This window comes from Homo sapiens, chromosome 9, assembly GCF_000001405.40.
Source record: "Homo sapiens chromosome 9, GRCh38.p14 Primary Assembly".
In the NCBI taxonomy this organism is placed as follows: domain Eukaryota; kingdom Metazoa; phylum Chordata; class Mammalia; order Primates; family Hominidae; genus Homo; species Homo sapiens.
In genome coordinates this window covers 86,682,704-86,709,204 of record NC_000009.12, presented here as the reverse complement: position 1 = coordinate 86,709,204, position 26,501 = coordinate 86,682,704, and the positions used below count along the sequence as shown (strand labels likewise).

The following is a 26,501-nucleotide window of genomic DNA, read 5'->3' as shown; positions in this document are numbered from 1 at the left end:
CCCAGGCTAACGAGAAGGGAAGTTGTCCTGAAAGTTGAAATGTCACCAACTGCAGGTCCCAGACCACCTGCGAGGGGAGGGAAGTGAAGCTGGGAGGGAGAGACGGGGAAGGAGGCAGCAGAGCTCCCGCTGGTGGAAGGCTGAGAACTCAATGATGTGGTCACCCCATGACTGCTTCACCCAACAATTTTCTTTTTCTAGAAAGTCTATCAAACTCATGAGACCTCAGTGTGAGAAATAAGTACATTCCTCATTATGGAAGCAAAGATGTTTCTTATTGGGAACAAAATGATGCCATCAAACTCAACAAGTGAACAAAGTCAGATAAGCAGAGAAAGTCAGGAGAATGTGGCCCCCCGTGTTACACACACACACACACACACACACACACACACGCTTACATTCCCCATATTCAGCAGAAATCTAGAGAGGGCCTCAGACTTCCACCAACCTAAGAGTGGATGCAGAAACATCCAAAGCAGTTAGGGGACAAAGTGACACCTAAGCTACCCAGAGATGAACAATCTAGTAAAAAAGACAAACTCATAGAAAAGTAAGATTAAATGAATGCAATCACAGTGTATCCAAATTCAGTGGGAAGTTCAACAGATGGAATAATTTAACAGAGAAAGGGACACATATTGTGTCCTTGTGAATAAAATATTGTGAGTAATATTTTAAGGTAAACTTTAATTAATGAGCAGAGTTTTGACAAGCAGAAGAGTGGCCTGGGGTAATGTGCAGGGAATAACATAAGAAAAGAAATAGGCAGATACAAATGTGCAACAGCTCAGGAAACAGGCTACTTCATGGAGGTTACGTGTCACAATGGCATGAAGGTAGGTTGAGCAGCCTCATCGTGTCAACTTTGAGCACCTACTAAGGATCTGGGACTTTATTCCCTTATAGGGCCATAGGAAGCCATGGCATGTTTCAACAAGGAGAAAGAAATATCTAATCTGCGTTTTAGAAAGATGATCATTTGTGGTGGTATGTAGAGCACGCTAATTTAGTAAGAGATTAGAGAGACAGAGAACAGCTGAAAGGTTATTGTGATAACATAAACAAGAATTGCCCACAGCTTGAGGCCAAGCAGTGGCAAGAGGGCAGAGATATGATGTGCAATGGGGATAAACTATGTATAACTGACTGACTGGCAGACACACAGCAAGAGGGGAAGAGTAGTTGAAGTCATGCCAATGTGTATAAAATGGACAATGAGAAGAGGAAGAGCTGGGACTTGAAAACAAAGGCTCCACTTAGTGAAGTTAAGGAAGCAAACATAATTTGGGAGTGTCCAATTTTATCAAATGTATCACAGAATCTGTTTTTGAGCTAAAATGTAAACCATGGCTATAATTCCCCAAAGTTAGTGTTCTGTCCTGAGATTATTGCAAACCAAGTCACTTGCCAGATTTCTTCAAAAATCTTGGGTTGTTGGAAATAGAATTTCATGCATTCTCACCTTAGGGGCTGGTGGAAGCCCTCATCTCTTCTCTGATGAGATGGCCCAGTGGTAATAGCCCAGCAGGGAGTGGAACCTTCAGGTTCAGAGGTATAGATGTGGGAACGAAAGTACATTCCCAGAGTGGAGAATGAAGACAGGACAGAAGTGAGGAACTCCGAAGCCCATCTCTAAAGGGTGAGCCAAAAGGGATCAGCCAGCAAAAGAGGAAAAGGGACAACAGATTTAGAACTGAAAGGAAAGGGATAGGAAGTGATAGGGAAAACAGCAGAGCTCATTCAAGTTGTCAGAAGGGTCTCTGCCTTCTCCTTTGAGAACTTTCTCACATACCAAAGCAGTCTTCCATCTGGCTCTGGAGAGATGTAGCTAACAACGAGATTTTTCCAGCAAGGGCAGCAACAACACTGTCATAATCATAGATGAAAGTGGACATTCTGACATTAATCTGAGGCCCCTACCTGGCTTCCACCAACTCCTAAGGTGGGAACGCATGAAATTCTATTTCCAACAACCCCAGAGTATTGAAGAAATCTGGCAGGCAACTTGGTTTGCAATAACTGCAGGACAGAACGCTAACTAACTTTTGGTGAATTATAGCCGTAGTTTCATTTTAGCTCAAAAACAGATTCTGTGATACATTTGATAAAATTGGACTCTCCCAAATTAAGTTTGCTTCCAGCCTGGGTGAGTTAGCCCACTGAAGGATCAATGGCCACCAAAAAAGAAAAGTAAATAAATAGAGCTGACAATAAAGGTACAATCAAAGCTCTAAACTAATATAGGACGAGGGCTTGGGGGTTGGGGGGAAGAGCTAGTAGGTCTTCAGCCCATGCCTAGAGGTGAAATGCAAATGTACTTCCAGAGATGGTTCCCCTCCCAGGCAAGGTGATGGGGCTGAGGGGGGAGCCCCGTGTTTAATGAACTCGAAGCAGGAGGGCTTCTACCCAGGAAAGGGCTGAAGACAGTAGTTCTCAAACTTGAGAGGACATCAGGATCACCTGGAAGGCTTATTAAAACAGAGATCACTGAGCCCCCTCCCCCACTCCAGGATTTCCAATTCAGGAAGTCTGAGGTCAGACCTGAGAATTTACTCTTTAGTAAGTTCCCATGCAATGTTGATGATGCTGGTCTGGAGACCACACTCTGTTAACCACTGATTAAAAGACAAGGAACTGTGGGTTTAGCTGGATTGGTGAGTCTCATACAATCATCTTAAGAGTGGAGGGGGGAATCTTGAGTCCTGGCATGAACTAGTACAGCCCAGAGTTGGTTTGTCCTGCCTGCTCTTCCAGGGAGGTTTGGGCTGGGGTTTGTGAGAGGCATTGCCTCAGCGGGTAGACTCTGTAGAGGACGAGAGGGTATACCAGCAGACCCCCCTAATGCCACCAGCAGTACAGAACCCAATGGCATGGCCAGAGAATTTGGTGATTATTAATTTTCATCAAATACATGTAAGTGTCCCCTCTTTGGGAATAGAACCACCTTTTATTCATGGTTTTTACTTTCAAAATACCTAGCTCACAGTACATTTTTCATTGATTTTATTAGTAGTAGAATAAGCTACTTTTGATAAAACATCAACTAATTACTGTTTCTTTATCATCTCCCTACAAAAGATCATACCAATTCACATCATCAGAGGAACTTTTCTTTTTTGTAAACATTAGAAATAAAATCTTGGAAGACTAAGGTGGATAGATAAGAGGAGAGGAGTTCCCTTTTCCAATAAATCGGTCCAAGAATTAAGCAACAGAACCCTTAACATTTCAAAAACATCACACAAACACGTGATCACACAAAACATAAAACTGAAGGCAAAATTCACTGTATAAGTAACAAAAAAGACCTTATAGAGCTTGGGTAGCACAATATTTTGGTGTTAGGTGATTCACACGATGCACTTAAGAGGTTGAAATGGGAAAATATTAAACCAGCAGGTCAGCCTTTCCATATTTGTTGCCAATGTTTACTTCAGTTCCGGTAACACAGTAGGCTTGGGTATTTTTCTTTTCAGTACGTTGAAGAATATGAGTAACATATGTGGCGTGTGTTGATACTTGTTGATCCAGAGCTCAGAAATGTTAACCTAAAGAGAGTAAGCCTTGGAGGAGACTGGATGCTGGACAGCCTTGGATTCTGATTCATTTGAGACTCAGCATAGAGATGAGGCCACGATCTCCCCCACCCTTTACATTGCAGAGGATGAAAAGGGGATGTAATATAATACTACACCTCCAGGTATCAGAGTACAGAAAAAAAAGTGTTTCTTTTTTGCTTGTAGAAAGGTGAACCTTGTGAACACATTTAATGGAATAAAACATTTTGTGAGAGCTGTAGGCAGTTGTGATTGCTCGAGTGCCTCTTCTGCATCATGGAACCAGGATTGAAGAGAAGAGCTCAGCCCCAAAGGAGAGGAACAGAATTGCTTCTGGAAGCACCATGAGAGCTTCCACTCTCCGTGAGAAAAGAATAGCAGAGGAGGAAACGGTGGCCCTGGAAAGAGCTTGCTGTCTGAGAGGCAAAGGAGGCTGGCGGACACAGAGCTAAGAAAGGTAAGGCGGCAACAAGGAAAGACATTGTTCTGGCTGAGTAACATCTCCATAAGTTGCATCTTTTCAGCAATTTTGTTCAGGTACCATACTGTGTGGTGGTTGCTGTAACTATGATGAAAAAGATGTTCTGGTAAAGGCAATGATAGAGCCTGAGGCCCAGAGGGAAGGAAGTCACAGGGAGGTCCCCTGCCTCTGAGCTTCATCCCCACAAGCACCCAGCAGCTCTCCCTCTGCTCACAATACTGTGAAAGAGAAAAACACAGAGTAGATTCTTCCAACACAAATTGGGTGAGCCCAGGTGATCTGAAGGGAGAGCACCTAAGGTAGAGAGTGAGGGTCAGCGATTCAGAGAAGATCTTTAGAGCTGGGGATGACACATATAGGACTTCAATGATGGGTACAAGTCAGGGCACTCGTCAATTCTATTCATCAAGCAGAACTCTACAAACAGACTGCAGTTAGGCTATCCGCCAAAGAGACTTCTATCTGTCAGGCTGCTTTATGGTTGGTTTTTTCCCAACCTTGAGAAGGTCAAGTGCAGCTACAGTTATGTCTCGCTAAGCAATAGGAGTACTTTCTGAGAGATGCATTAGGCATTTTTGTTGTTGTGCAAACATCTTAGAGTATACTTATACAAACCTAAATTGTATTGCCTACTACACACCCAGGCTGTATGGTGTAGTCTATTGCACCTAGGCTGTAAGTCGGAACAGCCTGTTACCATACTGAATACCATATGCAATTGTAACACATCATATTTGTGTCTCTAAACAAATCTAAACATAGAGAAGGTACAATTAAAATATGATATAAAAGATAAAACATGGTACACCTGTATGGGGCACTTACTATACATGGAGCTTGCAGGACTGGAAGTTGCTCTGGGTGAGTCGGTGAGTGAGTGGTGAGTGAATGTGAAGTCCTAGGGCATGACTGTACACTACTGTAGGCTTTATCAACACTGGACACTTAAGTGACACTAGATTTATAAAAATATATATATTTTTCTTTATTCAATAATAAATTAACCTTAGCTTACTATAGCGTTTTTACTTTATAAACTTTTTAATTTTTTTAACTTTTTGACTCTTATAGTAACAACTTAGCTTAAAATTCTTACACATTGTATAGCTACACAGAAATATTTTCTCTCCTTATGTCCTTATTCTATGTGTTTTTCTATTTAAAAATGTTTTTTCTTATTAAATTTTTTGTTACAAACTAAGACATATGCACACACAATAGCCAAGGCTACACAGCATCAGGATCATCAATATCACTCTCTTTCACTTCCTCATCTTGTCCTTCGAAAGATTTTCAAGGAGCCATCATCTCCCATGGTAGCCATGCCTTCTTCTGGATACCTTCTGAAGAATCAGCCTAAGACTGTTTTACAGTTAACTTTACATACATATACATATGTGTGTGTACTTGTGTGTGTGTGTGTCTAAGTAGAAGGGGTACACTCTAAAATGCTAAAAAGTATAGTAAAAAAACAGTAACAGAGTTACTTATTGTCATTATTAAATATTATACACTATTCATAATTGTATATGCTATACTTTTATATGACTGGCAGTGCAGTAGGTTTCTTTATACCAGCATAACTACAAACATATGAGTCATGCATTGTCTACGTTTTGACAGCTACGACGTCACTAGGCAAGATGAATTTTTCAGCTCCTTTATCTTATGGGACCACTATGGTATATGTGGTTTGTCATCAACCAAAACGTTGTTATGCAGCACGATTGTACTGTATATTCGTAGAAGCAGAACCCAGTTCCCTCTATCCTGGGTCATCAGAAAAATAAACTCAGAATTTACCACCAAAAATTTACCACCAACATATTTCTGTTGGTTTAAAGAACGGCTTTGTAGGGAACTGCCTCTGAGTTTTCTGTCCTTTAGGTAAATATTGCAAAAATGGCCCACCTTGAGGAAGGACAAAGGTCAAAGTGTTTTTGAACTTGCTACAGAGAAAATGAATTTACTGAGGCAACAAAGGTTGAAGATGTTAGAAAAACATATAGAATTAGCAATAGACTATAAGAATCAAAGATGATAGTAAGGTGTTGTGTGATCTTAACAGGGTCCCTGGGCAACATTGCCAACTGGCTAAATCACAGCCCCTGAAACTGGATCATGTTTATTCAGGGGGTCCCCACAATGGTGCTCTGAAATACACTCTGATTTCATCAAAGTATTTTCAGAGATTATTTCAGAAACTCTGTCAACAACTTTTCTGAGACACTCCTGATTTCAAATTTTTACTGGATTCTGCCTTCAGCCAATCATTTCCTGCCTCTGGGTACCAATTTCCTTCTCTATAAAATGAAAGTGTTAATGAAATTAATTCAAACATACCATTCCTCTTTTAGTACTCAGTGAGGCCTATAACTCATCTTTCATACATGTTACCTTTATTTTTGGAGCCAAAAAATTAATTACATAGGTAATAAATGCATTTTCTTTATAAAAGAAAAAAACATAATAAATTAAATCCAGCTTTATCACTCCCTATCACAGCTTCCTCCCTCTCTCTTCTAATCATCATTAGCTTGCCAACTTTTTAAAAAATACTTTTACTTACATATATTTGGTCACGGAAAACATAAAGCCCCGTTTAATTTGTGTGTTTTTACACGAATTGTACTCCTTAAACATATAATTCTGTAATTTGCTTCTTGTTTATGTTACAATACTCATGAAGTGGTTTCCACCTGAGTGTAGACAGGACTACCTTGTTCTGGAGTATGAATGCATCATCACCTTTTCATCAGGCTAATGTGCATCATTTTATTCTACTGAGCATCTTTAAAAATGCCTCCTTGCGCACACATGGAAGTGTATGCTGAAGTAAATCATGCATAATGAACTTGCTGGGTCATGGATATGAATTCTTTAAATTTTAGCAAATACCAAATTGTCGCAAGTGACTACCCCAGTTAATGCCAGCAGTTCATAAGTATTTCCTCTTCTCATGAGAAGATTCTTTCTCATATCTACCATTACAAACTTTTGCAGCCAGATGGGTAAAAAAAAATGGCATCTCATATTTGTGTGATCCTGATTACTGGGAATGTTGAGTACCTCTTCACATGTTACTTCTTTTGATTTCAGTTTACATATGGTACCCACTCAGGTATACTGGGTATGGTCTCAGAAGGTCTGATTCAAATCCTATCTCTGGTATTTACTGGCTGGGTTAAGTCACTGAATCCCTTTGTCCACAGTTTTCTCAGCTATAAAAGGACAATAAAGATACCCGTTCTGCCTCAGTAACAAAAATTGATTGCGTACTTCCTGGGCACTGTTCTAGGGCAAGATTGTGAAGGGTTATGTAACTGTATCAGGCAGAGTGAGATTAGAGGAGAAGAATCACTACAGTGATATAAAATAAGGGATTTGTTATGAGAATTTGACCTTACACAATGATAGGTGATGATTAAACAGTCTGTGTAAGGCTGTAAGGCTGTTGTGTCTGTGTTGGCTCTAAAGTCAGCAGGGCAGGCACCTGGGAAAGAAAGACGGAATTGAAGTGGGGGAGAGTGGGACAAAAGTGGATCCCATGGCAATGAGCTTGAACCCATGAGGATGGACTGAAATCCATATTGGTTTCTCCAAACATCCCATTAAAGGATGTGATTCTGGCACCTTTCTCATCACAGAACAAAATCTACACTTGGCCCAGGAATTGGAGAAGCTACCAACAAGGTGCTTCTGCACCCCCGAATGTCACTTCTACCTCTCACTTCTTGTGGTGCAAGCCAACCTGGAACCATGCAGGTAGAGAATTCTGGGAAATGTAGTTTCACCTCGGCCAAGTGCCCACACTACAAATCCATCAGAGCAACTTCAGGAAATTATAACAAATGTGAAACATGCAAGTTGCAGATCCATTATGGAAATGTATGATCTGTGCACATACTGTTCATTCCATTTGACAGGCTGCATCTATATACACTTGTCCATGAGGAGTGAGATCAAGGGAGAGTGGTGATCCATTTTCTATGCATTAGGAGGCCAAAAGAAAACAAGATTTTATGAGGGGAGAGACTGACAACATATGCTGAAATAAAATCTGGGGATCTATAGGCTGCTTCACAGGGAAACAGAAGAAAGCTGAACCTACTTCCCTTTTCTATAGATTCCAGCCACACGTGAGCGCCTGGAGAATCCAACCGTGTGGATTTCCTGATGGCCAAGTGAAGTACATCTTTGTCTTTTGAAACAGTCCAGTTTTACAGGAAAGAATTAAAAAATGAGGATCATATTAGCACTACACTAATTATGAACTGGAATGTGTCAGCCAAGAATGAATTACAAGCTGGCCAGAGCCTGCAAACTCTAGCTGGATAAAGTTCAGACATGCAGCTGTGAGCCCTCCTGGAAGCTGGCCACCATTTATTACGGTGGCGCCTGGCAACAGGCTCGTCGTTAAGGGTCTGTCAGCCTTTCCATTAGAAGCTCCATCTTTTCAGGATTCTCCAGCTCTCCCCTTTTAAATCACATAAAGTAGAAACTTCTACATAGCTCGTCAAAAATGAGGACATTTTGTTGTGTTGTGGTTATTGTTGTTCTTGTTGTTGTTGTTGTTGTTAGATTCTGAGAAACTTAAATCTGGTTCTGCCTTTTACTGTACAATTAAAAAGAAAAACCAAAATAGCCAAAGTTAATAGACAGATTGTCAGTTTGGTTCCAATTTTTCCTACAGAAATAAACTTCTTTTTCTTTTCCCTTTCTGAAACCATCCTGAGAAAGGAAAATATACTCACTACAGACGAAGTGTTCTGCCTAAAAGATTAAATCTGTCTTGAAGTAAGTCCAAAGATAGCTAACGGTGGGGAAAGTTAGCTGTCCATTTCTTGTTGTGAGATTGTGAGCTTGATAACATAATACAAATTAAGGAACAGTTTTATGCTTAAGAAGCATTCTTCCACTGAAAAACTCACACTAGCAATATTGCATTAAACAATAGAACTTTTATCGTTTCTTGGCCTTTTGGCTAAGAACAAGTGTAGTAACAATAGAACTTACTCATAAGTGGGTGATAAAAATGGGTGGACATGGACACAGAGAGTGGAATGATAGGACAGGTAGGGTGAAGGGTGGGAGCAGGATAGATAATGAGAAATTACTAAGCAGGTATAATGTACATCATTCAGGTGATGGATACCCTAAAAGCCCTGACTTGGCCACTATGCTGTTACAAAACTGTGCTTTGTACCCCATAAACGTATACAAATTTTTAAAAAATAGAACTTGCAGTAATTCCTCAGCTCTGATTGTAAGATACAATATGGTTTCAATAACAACTATTCAGAAAAAATAAGAAGAAAAAAAGAAAAATGGAAGGAGGGAGGGAAAGGAAGAAAATTACCTCCATAAACGTACTCACTGGTGTTAAGATGCATCCCAATTTCAGAAGAAAATACACACACACACACACACACACACACACACGGTGGAGAAATGTCCTCCTACATATAACTCATTCTCATTTGCAAAACACTTTCAACCAAATTTTGCCAAATCATTCTTCTCTGCCCTAGATGAAATACCGGGAAGATTCCATAGTAAAGTGCCAAGCTGTTATCTAATTTAAAATTTCTCACCTGGCCTTGCTTGGGCAAGAACCAGCTTGGAAACCTGCAGGAGTGGATGGGGTGTGATGAGCCTCTCTGTGATTTTTTTTTTTTAATCTGGCTCTTTCTCTTCTCCTCCTTCCCTCCCTCTGCTGACTCTGGCTTCTCCGTGTTTCAAATGAGATGAGGATTTGGAGAAAAAGGTATCATAGACCTTTTACATAGAGAGTAAGTCATCTTATAGCTAGTTCACCAGACTGGCTTACCTTGGGAGCACCCAAACATGCCTGCTGTCTGCGATGTTTTTAAAGAAGTACATTTAGCCAACATTTGTGGTAATTCACCAAGAGAGGTCTGGTAGACTTCCACTCTAGACTTCCAGGTTATGCTGTGGGTTTGTCTGGTACCTTAGGAAACTCATGGAAGGAAAACAGAGTTCTCCCATAAACATGTGGTTAAATCTGAGAGATGACCATATGATAGCCTCCCCCCGCCATACCTGACCCTTTTCAGACACAAGGTGACTAGTATTTCCTTGTTCAGGGCAGCATGTAGGGCATTCACTGATAAAACTGTAGCAAGGGATGTTGCTTCTTCCAGTCTTCAGTTAGTAACACCCCTACTAGCAACTTGGTATACCAGACAGTTGTGTCATGGCCAGTACCACAGACTATACCACAGCCTTCAATGTGCAGAAAGGCATGAGGCTGCCAAGTGGGAGAATCAGTGGGAAAGATGAAAAATTGTAGGCTGGTTGTATGTGAAATATATGTAGAAAACAGAGCTGAGAAATCTTGCAATATAGAGAGTAGTGTGAATATATATATTGCAATATAGAGAGTAGTGTGAATATAGAGAGTATAGTAGTAGTATAGTTTTTGTTACAAAGGTTTCCTGCGTGTTATATATATAGCATAAACCTACAACAATTTATTTCATTCTTTGGTAAGTAAATATATTGTAGATAACAAGAGCCAGACTTCTCATCATTGGAGAAAGAAGTTACAGATAAACAAAAGGACAGGCTAGAATGAACATGCATGCTGAATTGGGAGGTATCAGTATGAACTCCTGCACTCAATATGAATTCATATATATGCAGATAGGTAGATATAGAAATATAAGTGTATTTGTGTGTACATGTTTCCTAGCTGTGAGACAGCCTCGGAGCAATGACAATCCCATAGCAATTTGAGCAGCCCTAGTGTCTGGATCTTGGTTCCTATATACCATTTTCCAACGAAAGAAACAAGGTTCCTTGGAAAAGAGGTTGATTCCAAGGCTGGGACAGGAAAATTAAAAGATGAGCTTGAAAGATCTTGTGCTGCCAGGAAATAAGAAAATGTTCAAGAAAGGATGGGACATGCCAAAAGACAAAGACACAACTTGGAGGAGATCCCCACGGGCAAGCTGCCATAACTGGAGCAAAGAAAGTATTAATTGTAGTACTGGATCATAGCCCATAGAATAAAATAATTGTCTAGGATTGTATATTGATATTAACGAATAATTGAATCAACAAATAAATGGGGGAGGAAGGGACAGCTCTTGCTTACAGAAGAATCCCAGTTAATGAATATAGAAGGAACGAGAGTTTCCTTTGTAAGCTCCCTTTGGGGTTCTGCAAAGAATAAAGTAACATGATGCTTACATGTATGTTTGCTCCTGAAAGGGCTGTGGGCTAAGGCTCTACAAGCTTCCATCCCAAGGATTGCTTGGCCCAGGTATTGTGCTCCACAATCCACTCCCTTCTCCCGTATAGTTTTCTACCTAGAAGAGATACATGGTTTCTACACAAGACCTAGTTGTGTTGCACACTCCAAGGACAGTCCACCATATTGTTTTCCAGGGCATTCTTTTCAAACAAAAAACAAGTCAAAAATTATTTCTGTTCTTCCACTTCTAAAAAAAATTGACAATATTTCCCTGTGTACACAATGTTTCTGTGGTGTCTCTAGTAAATTATTGTCTGCAGACCCACTGACTCTGCTGAAAGCCCACCCCTTCTCATGCCTGGGATGACCTCTCACCCAAGAGGTCAGTACCCAAAAGGCAGCATGAGCCAACTGCATTGTGTGTTCCATTACCCATGAGATTATGAGTAATTGTGGATAATTGCTGAGGCAAATGAGTTATAGCTAATTACTAGCATGTTCTTAATCCCAGCAACCAGTGAAAGCCAAAGCTCACTGCCATTTCACTCTTGACTATAATGAATACAACTTGCAGTTTTAGTTGATGCCAAAACAGTCACTATCGTGAACAGAGCCTGAAATCCCAAGGGAATTAGATAGATAAGTTTTTAAATGGGGAGGATTTTTCTTTCTCCACTTTTAATTTACTGCCAGGTATTTTTAAAGGCAACTCAACTTCCTTTTCACCCTAAGCAATTGCATGGGCCTTCTGTTATAGTTTGCAAACATTATTTAGAGATACCTGATTCTATAACCTGCTAAAAAAATACAATATTATGATAATTTAAGGTATCATTTGTAAGGATAAAATGAAATAATAGATTTTAATGTTCTTTGGAAAGATAAAAAAGCACAGTGTAATTACAGAGTATCATCATTATCTCCTTAAAACTATTATCTATGTCTTGTATAAAATATAATTTTTAAATTACTGCATGTAATGTTGTCAAAAATAATCAGCACAAACCTGGATAATCATAACATGTAGACTTTCTTCAACAAGGAATCCTAGAGTATTTCCTCTCATTTTCTAAATCTGTATCTTATTTGATATAATTTAAAGACGTTTTCAGTTTCTTAAGAAAGAGTTAGCTTTGAGACGGGTAGCACAGACAGACAGAAGCACAGGACATTACACAGCAGCAAAGCCAAGACTAGAATCCTGGTCTTCTGATAAGTAATTAAGTGATCCTGGGAAAAGCTTGTAATCATTTTGAGTCACAGTTTTTATACCCTCTAAAATGGGATATAACATATCTAAGAATGTCACAAGTATAAAGTGAAATGTAAAGGAAAGAGCACTTTGAAATGTCAGGTGTACATTAAATCAAAACTTATATAAACAGTAGAATTCACTATTCATAATAAGAGCAATAGGTAATTTCATCATGAAATGAGGCCATTGAACCTCTTTTCCAGTCATAACTGTTTTAATACCACATTTCTGTATTTCAGGGGTTTTGGCGAGGGTGACAGTTTTGTTTGAGCTGCAAAACCAAATGAGAGAAAGGTGGTTGTTACCAATTGTCCTCTGATTTGAGCCTGAGGGAAGGGCTGGTTTAGCAACTTGCATATCTCCAGCTTTTTTTTTTAATTTGGTTTGAAGCCAGCATCACCTCGCTTTATCTAGAAGTCTCTCTTCTTTCTGAAATAAGTGCAGTTCTCCAGGGAGACAGTGGCCACAGTCAGACAAGGAACTTCAGGAAGAATTCCTCTTAGTCTTTTTTCCAAAGGAAGTTTGGACTTTCCAAAGGAAGTCCAGGTCCTGAAGGCCTGAATGAATTTGGAGAAAAGACAGAGGATGTAAATGCAATCGCTGAGTCATCTTTACTAATAATTCCTATCTTGCCAGAATCCAGACCTCAGTAGGCTCTTCCTAATGTTCAAAAATAAAAGTAAAGTCAGGCAAATTTATAAAGTATATACTTGCTCAGCCAACTAATATTTATGGACTGCCTACTGTGTGTAGTGTGTGCTCTAGGTTCTAGAGACTCCGTAGTGAACAAGACAGAAATTTATCTTTTATTCTAGCAGAGTGAACAATAGCAAACAAATAAACAAGAAGATGTCAGGTTGTAACACTTCCTTTCCACATCATTAGAAAAGGCCATGCCATGGAAGAAACTGGGTGATCAGGGACGTCCTCTCTGAAGTGACATTATAACCTAAAACTTCAGTGACAGGAAGGATCAAGAAGCTTACCCTATCTCTCTTCCTTTACTCAGCTCCTTTCCGTCTCCCTTTCCTCTACCGTAGATCTGGGATACTTATACTGCAACAGCCTTCCAAGGCCAGGCCTTCCACTAAGCAGGCCATTCCCTTGACTTCTAGTTTCATTTATTCAACAGACTGAAAAAGGGTGGTAGCCTCTGTTCACTGTCTCTGCCCGAAGTATTGGATGATCCTCAGAACAGCACTATGATGCTGGTATTATTAAATCTATTTTACTTCTTGGGCACAAGAATAACAACAACTAATATTTATTAGGTGCTTACACTGTGCCACACAGATCAATGCAAAGAAGCAATGGCCGCAGCTGTCACCAGGCTTAGGACTGGGGACCTTTTACATTTTCCTGGGCTTATAAAGACTGCAGGGATTGTGTGCAACCTAAAAGAAGGTGATTAATGTTGGGAAACTTCAAAATCAACTGATAAATGCTGTATATACTTTGGCAGTGAAAGACTGAGCCAGATTTATTTCTATTTAAAAATATATGTATAGGACAGTCATGGTGACATGTGCCTGTAGTCCCAGCTACTCAGGTGGCTGAGGCACGAGAACCACTTGAACCTAAGAGGTGGAGGTTGCATTGAGCTGAGATCATGCCACTGCACTCCAACCTGGGCAAGAGAGCGAGACTCTGCCTCAAAAATAAAAAAAATATATATATGTATAGTATTTTGTATATCTTATATAACGAAGATATATAAGATATGAAATAATAACAATATATACAATATTACTAGCACCTGAGTATTTCCAATCAAACTAATTTGATCATGTCATTCTTCAGTTCATTAAAACTTCAATGATTTCCTATTTCTCACATTAGAAATGTCAAACCAAATGGATACAGGCACGCCAATATTTTGGGGGGAGGTGAGGAGACACACACAATGTCATAAACACCAGAAATTTTTTCAATAAAAATCTCAGATTCCTGAATTTCTTTGGGAAAAAAAAACAGAAGTTCTGACATTTTTTAGCCCCCACATCACCAGCTAGAATTGAACAGCAACTGTCCACAGATTTCCATAAACAGCAGTTTTATTAAATGTTAGTTTTACACAATTTTCTAATTCTTGTATTGCTTTCTTCTTTGATTCAGGGAAGTTTGAGGTGTATTTTTAAATATCTAGGCCCACAGTGTGTCCTAAAGTTACTTTTTATTATAGATTTTTAGCTTAACTCCATTCTGTTTCTATAATGTGGTCCATATGACACTCATTCATAATTTTTATTGGGAATTACCTTATGCCTCACACCCAGGTCAGTTTTCATAAACCCTCTGAATGTACTCCACTGGTTGTGGGAAGTATTCCATATATGTCCATTAGAGCTGCTTAATCTATACATTTACTGATTCTTTGTCTGCCTTGTCTATAAATGGCTAAGGAAATAGTCTGAAAATCTCCCACTATGATGGATGATTTGTCCATTTCTGCAATTTAGTCAAATGTTGAAGTTTTTAAATTAGACATCTTGTAATGATCTCCAGAATGTCTTTTGCCTTAAAATAGATTTTTGTCTAGTATTAATCTGGCTATAACAGTTTTCTTGAGTTTGTATCGTCTGGTATAATTTTTTCCATCCATTTACTTTCAACCTTCTATAACCTTTTATTTGAACTTATAACTCCACAAATCCATATCTGAATTTGTAGCACTGATGTTTATTTGTTGATGTTTTCAAACCAGTCTGACACTTTTTGACTTTTAACTATAAATTTTACTCAACTAATATTCATTTTCTTAATATTGCATTTGGATTAATTTTTACCACTTAGTTTTGTATTTTCTTTAACTTTTTAACTTTTCCCGCTTGTTCTGCCTCCTTTTGACTTGATAGTGTTGCTTTTCCCCTCCTCATTTCACTTTTTTCCTCTTCTCACTTGAAAATCATACTTTATATGTTAATTCTGTTAGCAGTATATTAGAAATGATCAACATGCATACTTATTAACTTTAAAAAGTAGAGGCTAATCAATAGTTTTACCTTCCTTTGAAAATAAATGAAACTTAGAGCATTTAAACATTGGTCACATGCCTTCTGATTTATATGCTATGTATTTGAGGATTTTATTGCTGTATCGATCTTATATACCCATAGGATAGATTTTTAATTTGTTTATGTAGTCTGTGTTTATCTATATTTACCCAAAAGTACACTGTATTATTTATTCATTGTTCCTTTTTGTATCTTGGGTACTCCTTCTCGGCTCATTTTTTCCTTCCTGAAATATAGTCCTTAGGCATTAATGGGGAGCTACTCACAGTAAACCCTCTCAGGTTTTTGCCAGTTCTGTTGCTTGTTTTTTCTTTTCTTTCTTTCTTTTTTTTTTTCTTTTTTGGGATAGAGTTTCGTTCTTGTTGCCCAGGCTGGAGTGCAATGACACAATCTTGGCTCACTGCAACTTCCGCCTCCCAGGTTCAAGTGATTCTCCTGCCTCACCCTCCCGAGTACCTGAGATTACAGGCATGCGCCACCAAGCCCAGCAAATTTTTGTATTTTTAGTAGAGACAGGGTTTCATCATGTTGGCCAGGCTGGTCTCAAACTCCTGACCTCGTGATCCACCCACCTTGGCCTCCCAAAGGGCTGGGATTACAGGCGTGAGCCACCGTGTCCCGCCTTGTTTGTTTTTTCTAAAAATATCTTTATTTTGGCTTCATTCTCAACAGGTACTTGTAATAGATATTTAATTCTATATTTAATTGTTTGTTGTCAATTATTTTTTCTTCAGTATATTGAGGAATATTATTACTTTTTCTTCTGGCTTCCACTGTTGCTATTGAGAAGTTATATAAGTGAACACACCTCTACAGATAACCTTTCTTTCCTCTCGGGCTGCTTTTTCTTTTTCTGATTGCTTTCAAGATCAGCTCTTTGTCTTTGGTTATTTTCAGTTTCACTAGGATGTTTTCAGATGAAATTTCATTTTAATCCAGCTTAAAGTTCCTTGAGCTACATAAACATAAGGATTGTAGCTATTCATCAATTAAGGAAACTTCTCAGCTACTATCTCTTTGAATATTATCTCTCTCCAGTTTTCTCTATTTTATCTTTCTGGGTTTTCACTTAAACACTTATTAGACCTTCATACTATATCCTCTATGTCTAAACTTCTCTTTTGTACGTTTTATCTTTTTATTTTTGTGCTATTTCCCGAGTAATGTCTTCAGATCTATCTTCTATTTCACTAATTTTCTTGTTGGCTGTTTTTAATTTGCTGTTTACCTGACTGTTTTAAAATGTAATACTACGTATTTTTATTTATAGAAGTTTTATTTGGTTTTATTATAAAAATCTGCCTTGGCCAGGCACAGTGGCTCACACCTGTAATCCCAGCACTTCGGGAGGCCAAGGTGGGTGAATCACTTGAGCCCAGGAGTTTCAGACCAGACTGGGCAATATGATGAAACCCCATCTCTACAAAAGATACAAAAATTAGCCAGGTTTTGTGGTGTGTGCCTGTAATCCTAGCTACTTAGGAGGCTGAAGCAGGAGGATAGCTTGAGCCTATGAGTTCGAGGCTGCAGTGAGCTATGATCATGCCATCGCACACAGCCTGGGCAACAGAGTGAGATCCTGTCTCAGAAAAAAAAAATCTGCCTCATCAATATTCATAGTTTCTTGTTCTTTTACCATGATTTCAGTATCTTCACTGGTTTATTTAAATGTGTGAAATATATTTGTTTTATAGTCTGTGTCTGTTGAGCCTGCAGTTTTTACAAACCTGATTCTGCCATTTGCTGGCTTTCTGTTGTCTCTCTCTCATAGTGTCCAATTTTCTTGTATGTTTAATGATTTTTAAAATTTTTTTTTAAATTGTGAGCTCATGTTTCTTTCAGAATTCTCTGAAACCTGTGTTTAACATGCATCCTCAAAAAAGGATCTGTTTGCTTCCATCAGTTGCCTGCAGGTACTTATCAACGTAGGACCACTCTTTACTAAATTTCCATCCTGAAATTTTGTTAAGACTACTCATACAGTGTGAATTATGGCCTCCAAATACAAGCCCATTCTGGCTTATGATTAGGAATTCTCATATGAGGCTTTTATTTTTCCTTGTCATCTTTTACAGAATTCAGGGCAAAGTCTAAGGCAGTCAAGTCCCCTTTGTGGGGTTGGGCTTTCTAGTTTGCCCTTTGTGAGCATTAACCTTTAGGGTGTCATTTTTCTTCAGGGTTCCCCAATCAGATTTCTCACCTGTCTCGATTCTAGGTTTGGCCTGTGACTTCCATACTACAGTCCATTAAAACCAAGTCTGTAGAACACCATACACTGACAGATGTACCCAAGCCAAAAAAAAAATAGGTGTTCTCTCATCATTTCTTAGCTTCGGTATTTTCTTTGCTGTCAGCTCAGCTATGCTTTTTAAATGTTTTATTTTAAAATACATTTCATTCATCATTTTAAGTGTTATGCACCTGGAGGGACACATGCATAGAGTCTAGAGTGCTTTTTGGCTAACACTATTTATTTATTTATGGAGTTATCCTTCTTTCCCAACCAGATTGTAAGTACTCAAACTGCTCTATTCTGCTACACTAGTAATTCCTTGCACACATTAAAGAGTTAATAAATGTTTCTTGTTTGAAATAAATCTATTCTCTGTTATCTGAATAAAATTCTGAAAAGACTTACAGAGAAACAACATAAGTTCTCCCTCTTGGCTTTTCATTTTTAATTCTTTTCTCATACATAGAAATGTTTCCGTTTGATTAACACACAGTCTTTATACACACTATGTTAATTAAAAATACTCCTCTGGTTTCATGAACCAAGTAACCTAATTTTTACCTGAAAACTCAAATTAACAGGGCACCAGTCCAATATCAGCTATTGGAAATAAGATGATTATATAAAGTACAAGACTTGACTTGTCAATGAAATTTATTTATCTCTAGGCATCTTGTAGAAGTCATTATCCAGTGGTATCAAACGTATACCCAAGTGATCCTGACATCAGAGTTGAATGACCACATGCCTGAGGCAAGAGAATATAGCCACGGTTTTTTAATCTTAGAAAAAAAGTCATCCAAATATTTATTTATACTCCAAATTAAATCCATGCTTGTTTTTAACAACGTTTTAAATAATTTACCAATTAAATTGCACACCACTATCATCACACCAATTTCATAGTCAAACTATGTAAGATGTACGACATTTGTTTGATGGCTTTGTCTACTTCCAAAACATAGGTGTGTACCTGATTTTTGGAAGCCACATTATAATGTTCAAAATGAAGAGAAATGTGAAAACTTACAAAAACAGACTGCTCTGCCAAGAGATCCCAACTCTCTTTCATCAGCTCAGTCCTTCCACTTCCTAACCCCACATAAGGCTCTAATTCAGAAGTAGCAAGCTTAATTGACTAGGAGGACTTGCTTGGAATGCCAGTGAGTACAAAGGGCAAGGTAGGGACCCTGGCAAGGCAGAGAGAACTGGTCCTGTCCAAAGGGGCAGGCCTGCCCTTCACCTCCAGCCAATTGTTTCCATGTGGAAGTATAGGGGAGGGCTGCAGATCTCCCAAACCAAGCCTCCAGATTTTTATGTAAGTTAACCTAATTTTATAAGTTTGTCTCAATCAAATGAAGAGAAACTGCATGATTCATAAAAGTGTGAAATAAAACATGGAAGATGATTTTCCTAATCTTAGAATGGAAAAAAAATCTTTTTAGGTATGGCAGGAAACAAGGAAAAAAACACAAAACATGGCTATATAAAAAAATTTTAAATTCTGCATAACAAAAAACAGCAAGCTCACATGCAAAAGCCAGTAAAGATGCACATATGCAGGCAAAATGCTAAGGTTCTTAATACAAAAGTGCTGTTGGAAGCAAATTTCTTATATACATGTTATATATTCTATTAGAAAATTATTGGCAACAATATGGAGATACAGTTTACAGAAAAGGAAACACAAGTGGTTCTCGTACACATGAGAAGACAAATAACATCACCCTTGATAAGAGAAATGCTAATTATATTACAACAAGATACCATATTTCACTGACTAATTTGGCAAAGATCAAAAAGCTTCAAATCACACTTTTGGCAAAGTGATGGAAAACAGGCCTCACATACATTGTTGGGGGATTATAAGTTGAAAAAAGCCTATGGGCAGACATTTGGTAGAATTTATCAAATTTACAACTATGCACCTTTTCATCTAGCAAGTCATTTTTGTATATAGATATACAAAATAAGCCAATGACACACCTACAAAGATATTTACTGCAGTATTCTCTGTGCACACTCTAAAATGTAAAGCCTCTGAATTTACTTAATTTAAGCTAAAATTAAGGGTAAGTAAAGGGAAAACATGGCCTGGGGGAAGATAGCCAGAGTTTGAACCCAGAGCCAAATTGCAATGAAGAGAATAACAGGGCAAGCTGCACCTCTGCCACCAGAATGTAGAGGCAGGATGAGGTTTATTTAGGTGAACAAGAAGAAAATCAACATGTTCACAGCCTCTGAGCTCATATGCTTCAGTAAGACACACTTATCATGTGTCTCTTCTATCCAGGCTGTACTAAGCATCATCCTTACATGTTCTCTTTTAATCCTTACAAAAACACTTGAAGGAGAGTACCTTTCCTCTTGCTTTTAGGGATGCCAATATCCAGAGAAGTTAAGCAACTTGCCCAGCTTACATAGCTTATATAGACGTGTCTAATACCATAGGTAAGAAAACACAGGGTGAAGAACTTTGGCCTGAGAACCAGATTCCTCATTATTTAAGTAAAATTATCTTTTACAAGCTGTGTACCCTTGGACCAGTTATTTAGTTCCATGGGACTCAGTTTTGTCATCTGCAAAATGGTAGTGATAATAGTGACTACTTAAGAGAGTTATTGAAAGGCTTAAGTGAGTGGAATTCTTGAAGAAGTATCTTAAACATGTTCTAATGTGACAGACTGTATTTTCCAAAGATGCCTGTAACAAAGATGACCCCCATTGCATGTGCTCTTTTTTGAAGTGACTTTGACACTCCTCCATCAAGAGGTGCACTCTATTTCTCTACTCGCTTCAACCTGCGCATACCATGGGTCTGCTTTGACCAAAAGAATGTGGAGGAAGGGGCCAGGCACAATGGCCTATGCCTATAATTCCAGCACTTTGAGAGGCCAAGGTAGGAGGATTGCTTGAGTCCAGAAATTCAAGACCAGCCTGGGTAACATAATGAGACCCTGTCTCTAAAAAAAAAAAAAAAAAAAAAAAAATCAGCTAGGCACGTTGGCACATGCCTGTAGTCCCAGTGAATTGGGTGGCCGAAGTGGGAGGATTGCTTGAGCCTAGGAAGTCGTGGCTGTAGTGAGCCATGACTGGTGCCACTGCACTCCAGCCTGGGCAACAGAGCTAGACTCTGTCTCAGAAAACAAAGAAACAAACAAACAAACAAACAAACAAACAAGCGAAAAATACGGAGGAAGTGATGCTGTGCCACTTCTGAGCATAGCCCATAAGTGACCTGGCAGTTTTTGCTTCTGCCTCTTAGAAACTAGCTGCCGCAAAAGGAAGTAAAACTGTTCTGAGACAGCCATGATGTGAGAAGCTCAAGCCACATGGAGGGAGGCTGGAGGAGGAAATGCCATGTGAAGGGAGAGAAACCAAAAAGCAGGGAGGAGTCAGATACTGTGATTGCAGAGGCCACCTAGGGAGTGGAGCCTCCGGTGCCAGTTGCCCCTGCGGACATCATGTGGAGCAGAGACAAACCACCCAGCCAAGCCATTCCCAAAGTCCTGACTCACAAGATCATGAGCAAAGCAAAATGGCTGTTTTAAACCACTAAGTTTTGGTGTCATTTGTTACACAGTAATAGATAACCAAAGCATCTAGTATAAGGTGCTTGAGAAATGATGTTATTATTTTATACTCACTCTTATGCTACTCTTACTATTATTTTTAACTCCCACAAAAACACTATAATAAATAGCTGTAATAATTTCTTTGGTAAAAACAAATTTTTAATCATTTTTAAAATGATATATTAACTGGTCACAAAAGGTCTTCAGTAATTCCCCAAAGATTAAAAAACATGAGGGAAGGAATAAACTAGCTCTAACTCTAATTCAATTAGTATTATTGAGAGATACTAGAGATACTAGACTTGTGCAGAGCAAGATTGATTTTTATTTATATTTATTTATTTATTTATTTATTTTTGAAACAAAGTCTTGCTCTGTCACCCAGGCTAAAGTGCAATGGTGCGCTCTCAGCTCACTGGAACCTCCACCTCCTGGGTTCAAGGGATTCTCCTGCTTCAGCCTCCCAAGTAGCTGGGGTTACAGGCACGCACCACCATGCCCAGCTAATTTAAGACTGATTTCTAGAGTACAAAGATAAACCGAAAATGTTCTTATATTTCATAGATCTTTAGAGCAAATATTCATGAGAATGAACATGGGGAGAAGACTAGAGATGCATTTCTGCCTGCATATACGTTTACCACTGAATTCTTATTATATAAAGTTACTCACACAATGGGACTGAGATAAAGACTCTTAAACGTGAAAACTCTGCTGTAAAATGTAAACAAAGACAACTAGTTGGATATCCCTTTTTCTCATCCACAATTTGGCTGGTAAATACACTCAGGCTACATTAGTAAAACACAGTTAAACTGCAGCAGACATAGTACAATAACATCTTCTCAACACTATCATATTCAGATGGACCCACAGAACATTGTTATAATCTCTGTGATCTTTAATTAGTCTCTGTAGCCTGGTAATCCCGAGAACCTTTAGGGTAACACCTCGACCCCTGGCTCCTGCATTGGAATTGTTTTGTAATGAAGGGACAATGGCTTTGCTTCTACTAATGAAGAATTCCCTTTGTATGCCTCCCCATTCCTCCTCAGCAGACCTTTGCCTGTAGTAGATGCTCCGTCTACTTAAAAATTAATTGAATTAAGCTTAAAAATGAAAAAAAGACCCAGTCTTGTTTTTCATTTTTTGTTTTTCTTTTTTTTGAGATGGAGTCTCGCTCTGTCTCCCAGGCTGGAGTGCAGGAGCTCAATCTCGGCTCACTGCATGGCTCCCGGGTTCACACCATTCTCCTGCCTCAGCCTCCTGAGTAGTTGGGACTACAGGAGCCCGCCACCACGCCCGGCTAATTTTTCTGTATTTTCAGTAGAGACGGGGTTTCACCGTGTTAGCCAGGACGGTCTCCATCTCCTGACCTCGTGATCCGCCCGCCTCGGCCTCCCAGAGTGCTGGGATTTCAGGCATGAGCCACCGCGCCCAGCCCCCAGTCTTGTTTTAAGAGAGATTTCAGTCTAACGCATAAACAAGTCAGCAAACAGCTACTGACCTGGTATACAAATGGCCTTGGCAGGGACTTAAACCATTTGTTTAAAGAGTGATGAGCCATTTACATGATCAAACCCTTTATCCATAAGTGCAATTTCTGCTGTGTCTTATGCCTAGAAACAGGAAATGGGTTCTAGATTATGGGTCCTGGGTGCTGAGATCACAGCTTTTGATTTTTTAAAAAATGTTATATATGGAAATTGACATAGAGAACAATAATTGAATAATAGTTACCAGTCACTATACGCTCACTGTGTGCCAAGCATGGTGTAAACCACTTTCCATATATTATTTTATTTAATCTTTACATCAATAGAGTTAAAAGAGTGTTATCTGGCTTTTGTATATTAAGAAACTAAGGTTTAAAGAAAACTTAAATAGTATCCCCCTTCTCCCTCTCCTGCACCCACCAGAACCAAAAATATAAAAGATAGAGTGAAGTTAATGTATCTCATTTTGGACGACTGGGCATCCCTCCTCATGTGATACTAAAGGGATTTCAATGACAGGACCCTCCTCCCGACCACATGAGTAGCTCATCAGATTTGTTCTCTCAGATCCTTGGCTGTTGTCCCTAAAGTCATAGGGACAGCAGTAATGTGGGTGAGTCACCCAAAAGCAGCATCTTGAGATAGTCTACAAGTTCTGTGCTCTCAAACCCTCAAGGCTTCCTTGAAGTTGAGTGGGCAACTCATTATTTCTTCTTCCAATTTTGTTAGCCACCCAATATCTTTCCAACAATTGCTTCATTCTTTACCAGACTGTATTTACGTTGTATACATGCAAACAACCACAGCTGATAACATAGTGACAAAGAGTACAATGAAAGAAATGTGGTTATCATACTGAGATGAGGCACAAAAGAAGTGGGATTCCTATCTGTGATCTGAGAGGGGTGGGAACCAGCCCATGTAAGCACTAAGAGCTACTTCTGAATGCACAGGATGAATTAAAGTTACAGAATACACGCGGAAACCTTGGAGTTTCCAGCCTGTGGCATGGAAAACAACACCACACATGGCTTTTCCGTGAGTGCTGAAAATGTTTCTTATCTTCTTAGAGTTGAGATGATGGAAAGCCAAAACCCAAAAGACTGATACTGTTGTTCACTGAATCCAAATACCAGTTAAATCCTTGCAAAGTCTATTTGCAAATCTTGTCCTTGATCAGGAAGGAGCAGAATTCCCACAACTGGAACAGTGGCATCTGGAGGGAATGCAGAATATGGAGAAGCCCCAACTTGATACCAACTCATTTTCACAAGAAAACAATAAAGTGAATCATATTCTGCACCTATTTTGCATACAAGAAAATATTTTATAGACAAGGAAAATTTACAGGTTTCACACTATAAGTGGCAGAGCCAGAATTCAAACCAGAAAGTCCTACCCAAAGCCCATGCCTTTAACCAGGGTTCAGCAAACTCTTTCAGAAGTCTCTACCAGGGGGACTCTACTCTGCCACTGCAGTGCGAACACAGCTATAAACAATATGTAAACATATGGGCATGACTGGGATCCAATGAAACTTAATTTATGGACACTGAAGTTTGAATTTTACAAAATTTTTACATGCCACTAAATATTATTCGTTGATTTTTCAAGGTAAGTTTAACATGTAAAAACCATTCTTAACTCATGAGCCACACAAAAGCAGACATTACTACAGTTTGCTAACTCTTGCTCTTACACTGCATTAGCAGAATCAAAGCTAATATTTGCAAGTGGATCCATGATTCCTTGAAAATATATCCATGAAAGGCTTTTTCTAGATAAAGGCAGCATGTGTTTATTCTCTGGCTTATGAGCAGTAGGGTCTCATTCTGTCAAGTGATGGCAAAGCATACTTCTAAATTGTTCATGTAGGCCACATGTGCAGCTGTAAACAGGACAGACAGTTAGGTATTCATCTAAAAAATGAAAGAAGATCACGTTAGAAGAAGGAACTTGAGTGTTTGGGAAAAGCACCCATGCTGACCTGAGGCCAGCTGGAATGGAGATTTCTGCCAAGGAACTAAAATACAAAGAGCCAGGCATGTTTACTTTGAATCCTATAAATGATTTATGAGAACTTTAATATGGCTACTGAGTATACTTGTAAGCTTGTTAGACATTTTATTTTTTTTGACCAGGGAAACATTTGTAAACTGAAGACCCTGATGTGTGAGCTCAGATTTCAGAGTCAAAGGTATATTTCAGCATTCTGGAAGTTCCCCTCTTACCCATCTCCTCCCTTCTGCTATTTTGACCAATGTCCATTTCTCCATGGTCACCAAAACTCAGATGTTACTAATATAAAGAAAGACTCAGTCTTTACTAAGAATTCCACATCTTCTTGCCAGAAAGGCAAAGAAGGCAAGAATGGGGTGGAGATGGTGGTCAGAAGCAACTCTAGATTTGGTGACAGAGGTAAGATACACTCAACCGGTATGCAGACAGAATCTTATTGCCATCTTCATATAAGTGGCTGAGAATGTTGAACTTTTTAGAAAGCCAGCCCAAATTCACCACATTTAGGTTTATTACAGGATAGCAGCTGAAAAGATTTGTACCCTCCATCCCCTGTGAACCACACCTTGCGATTTAAGAAAAGAAACTGGAGAGGTAAATGTCTTCCTTTGATTCTACTCCATTTTTGTTTTATTTTCATGAGTCTCTGTTTATAAAAGAATTTTAAAGATACATCCTCACAGTTTTGTTTTGTTTTTTTAAGTCAGAGTCTCGCTCTGTGGCCCAGGCTGGATGGAGTCAGGTGGTGCTATCTTGGCTCACTGCAACCTCCAGCTCCCAGGCTCAAGCGATTCTAGTGCCTCAGCCTCCCAAGTTGCTGGGATTACAGGCATGCTCCCCATGCCCAGGTAATTTTTGTAATGACAGGGTTTCACCATGTTAGTCAGGCTGGTCTCAAACTCCTGGCCTCAAGCAATCTGCCCACCTTGGCCTCCCAAAGGGCTGGGATTACAGGTGTCAGCCACCACACCCGGCCTCATTTTCTATTTACTAATTTATATGTGGAATAGCAGAAAGGAGTAGAGATAGAAAGATAAAGCGTATTGGCTAAGAAGTATAGGGTTAATAGAGATATCAAGAACTGTTCAAGAGGTTTGACCACTGAATTTGTACCAGGCATTCAGATGCAGAGACAACAGAGTTTTCAAAGTCCTTATTTTCAGAAAGCTAATCTAATGAAGTAGAATAAAATATGTACAATAAACGATGATGTTTTAAGTCCAGACCAGCAAGGGTACACTCTTTTAGCACTGTAAGATAAAAGATATGAAGATCTAATACTGTTTTTGTTTGTTGCCATCTAGATATTTTCCTAAAGCCCAAAACAATTTGAGGACCTCTTTCGCCATCCCTCCTAGAGCTTCAGAATCTGAAGATCCATGCCCCTATACCATCCTTTGTAGGGGTAATAGAAAATTATTGTCATTTTCATCAAAAACTGGATACAATAGGGAATGAGAGTTTGGAGGAGGGCAAGGGATGGCAACTCTGGTCCTTGGGTCAAAGTGGCCAGATGCCTGTTTCTGTATGGCAAACAAGTTAACAGGGGTTTTTTTACATTTCTAAATAGTTGGAAAAAATAAAAAGAACAATATTTTGTGATGTAATAATTATATAACATTCACATTTTAGTGTCCATAAGTAAGGTT

At 39.0% G+C, this 26,501-nt stretch overlaps 1 long non-coding RNA gene across 3 annotated transcripts in view; it reads left to right on the top strand.

Annotated features, from left to right (window-relative positions):
* The first annotated feature begins 899 nt into the window (after positions 1 to 899).
* The window catches only part of LINC02834 (long intergenic non-protein coding RNA 2834), a 39,034-nt gene continuing 13,432 nt past the window's right edge, over positions 900 to 26,501 (top strand). The window contains exons 1-3 of one of the 3 annotated variants that reach the window (XR_930071.1): positions 900 to 990; positions 3,747 to 4,017; positions 8,168 to 8,530. This is a non-coding gene — a long non-coding RNA (long intergenic non-protein coding RNA 2834). Of the gene's footprint in view, positions 991 to 3,746; positions 4,018 to 7,967; positions 8,531 to 26,501 lie in introns of those variants that run through there. The other 2 variants (XR_930069.1, XR_930070.3) reach the window with 2 other exon arrangements.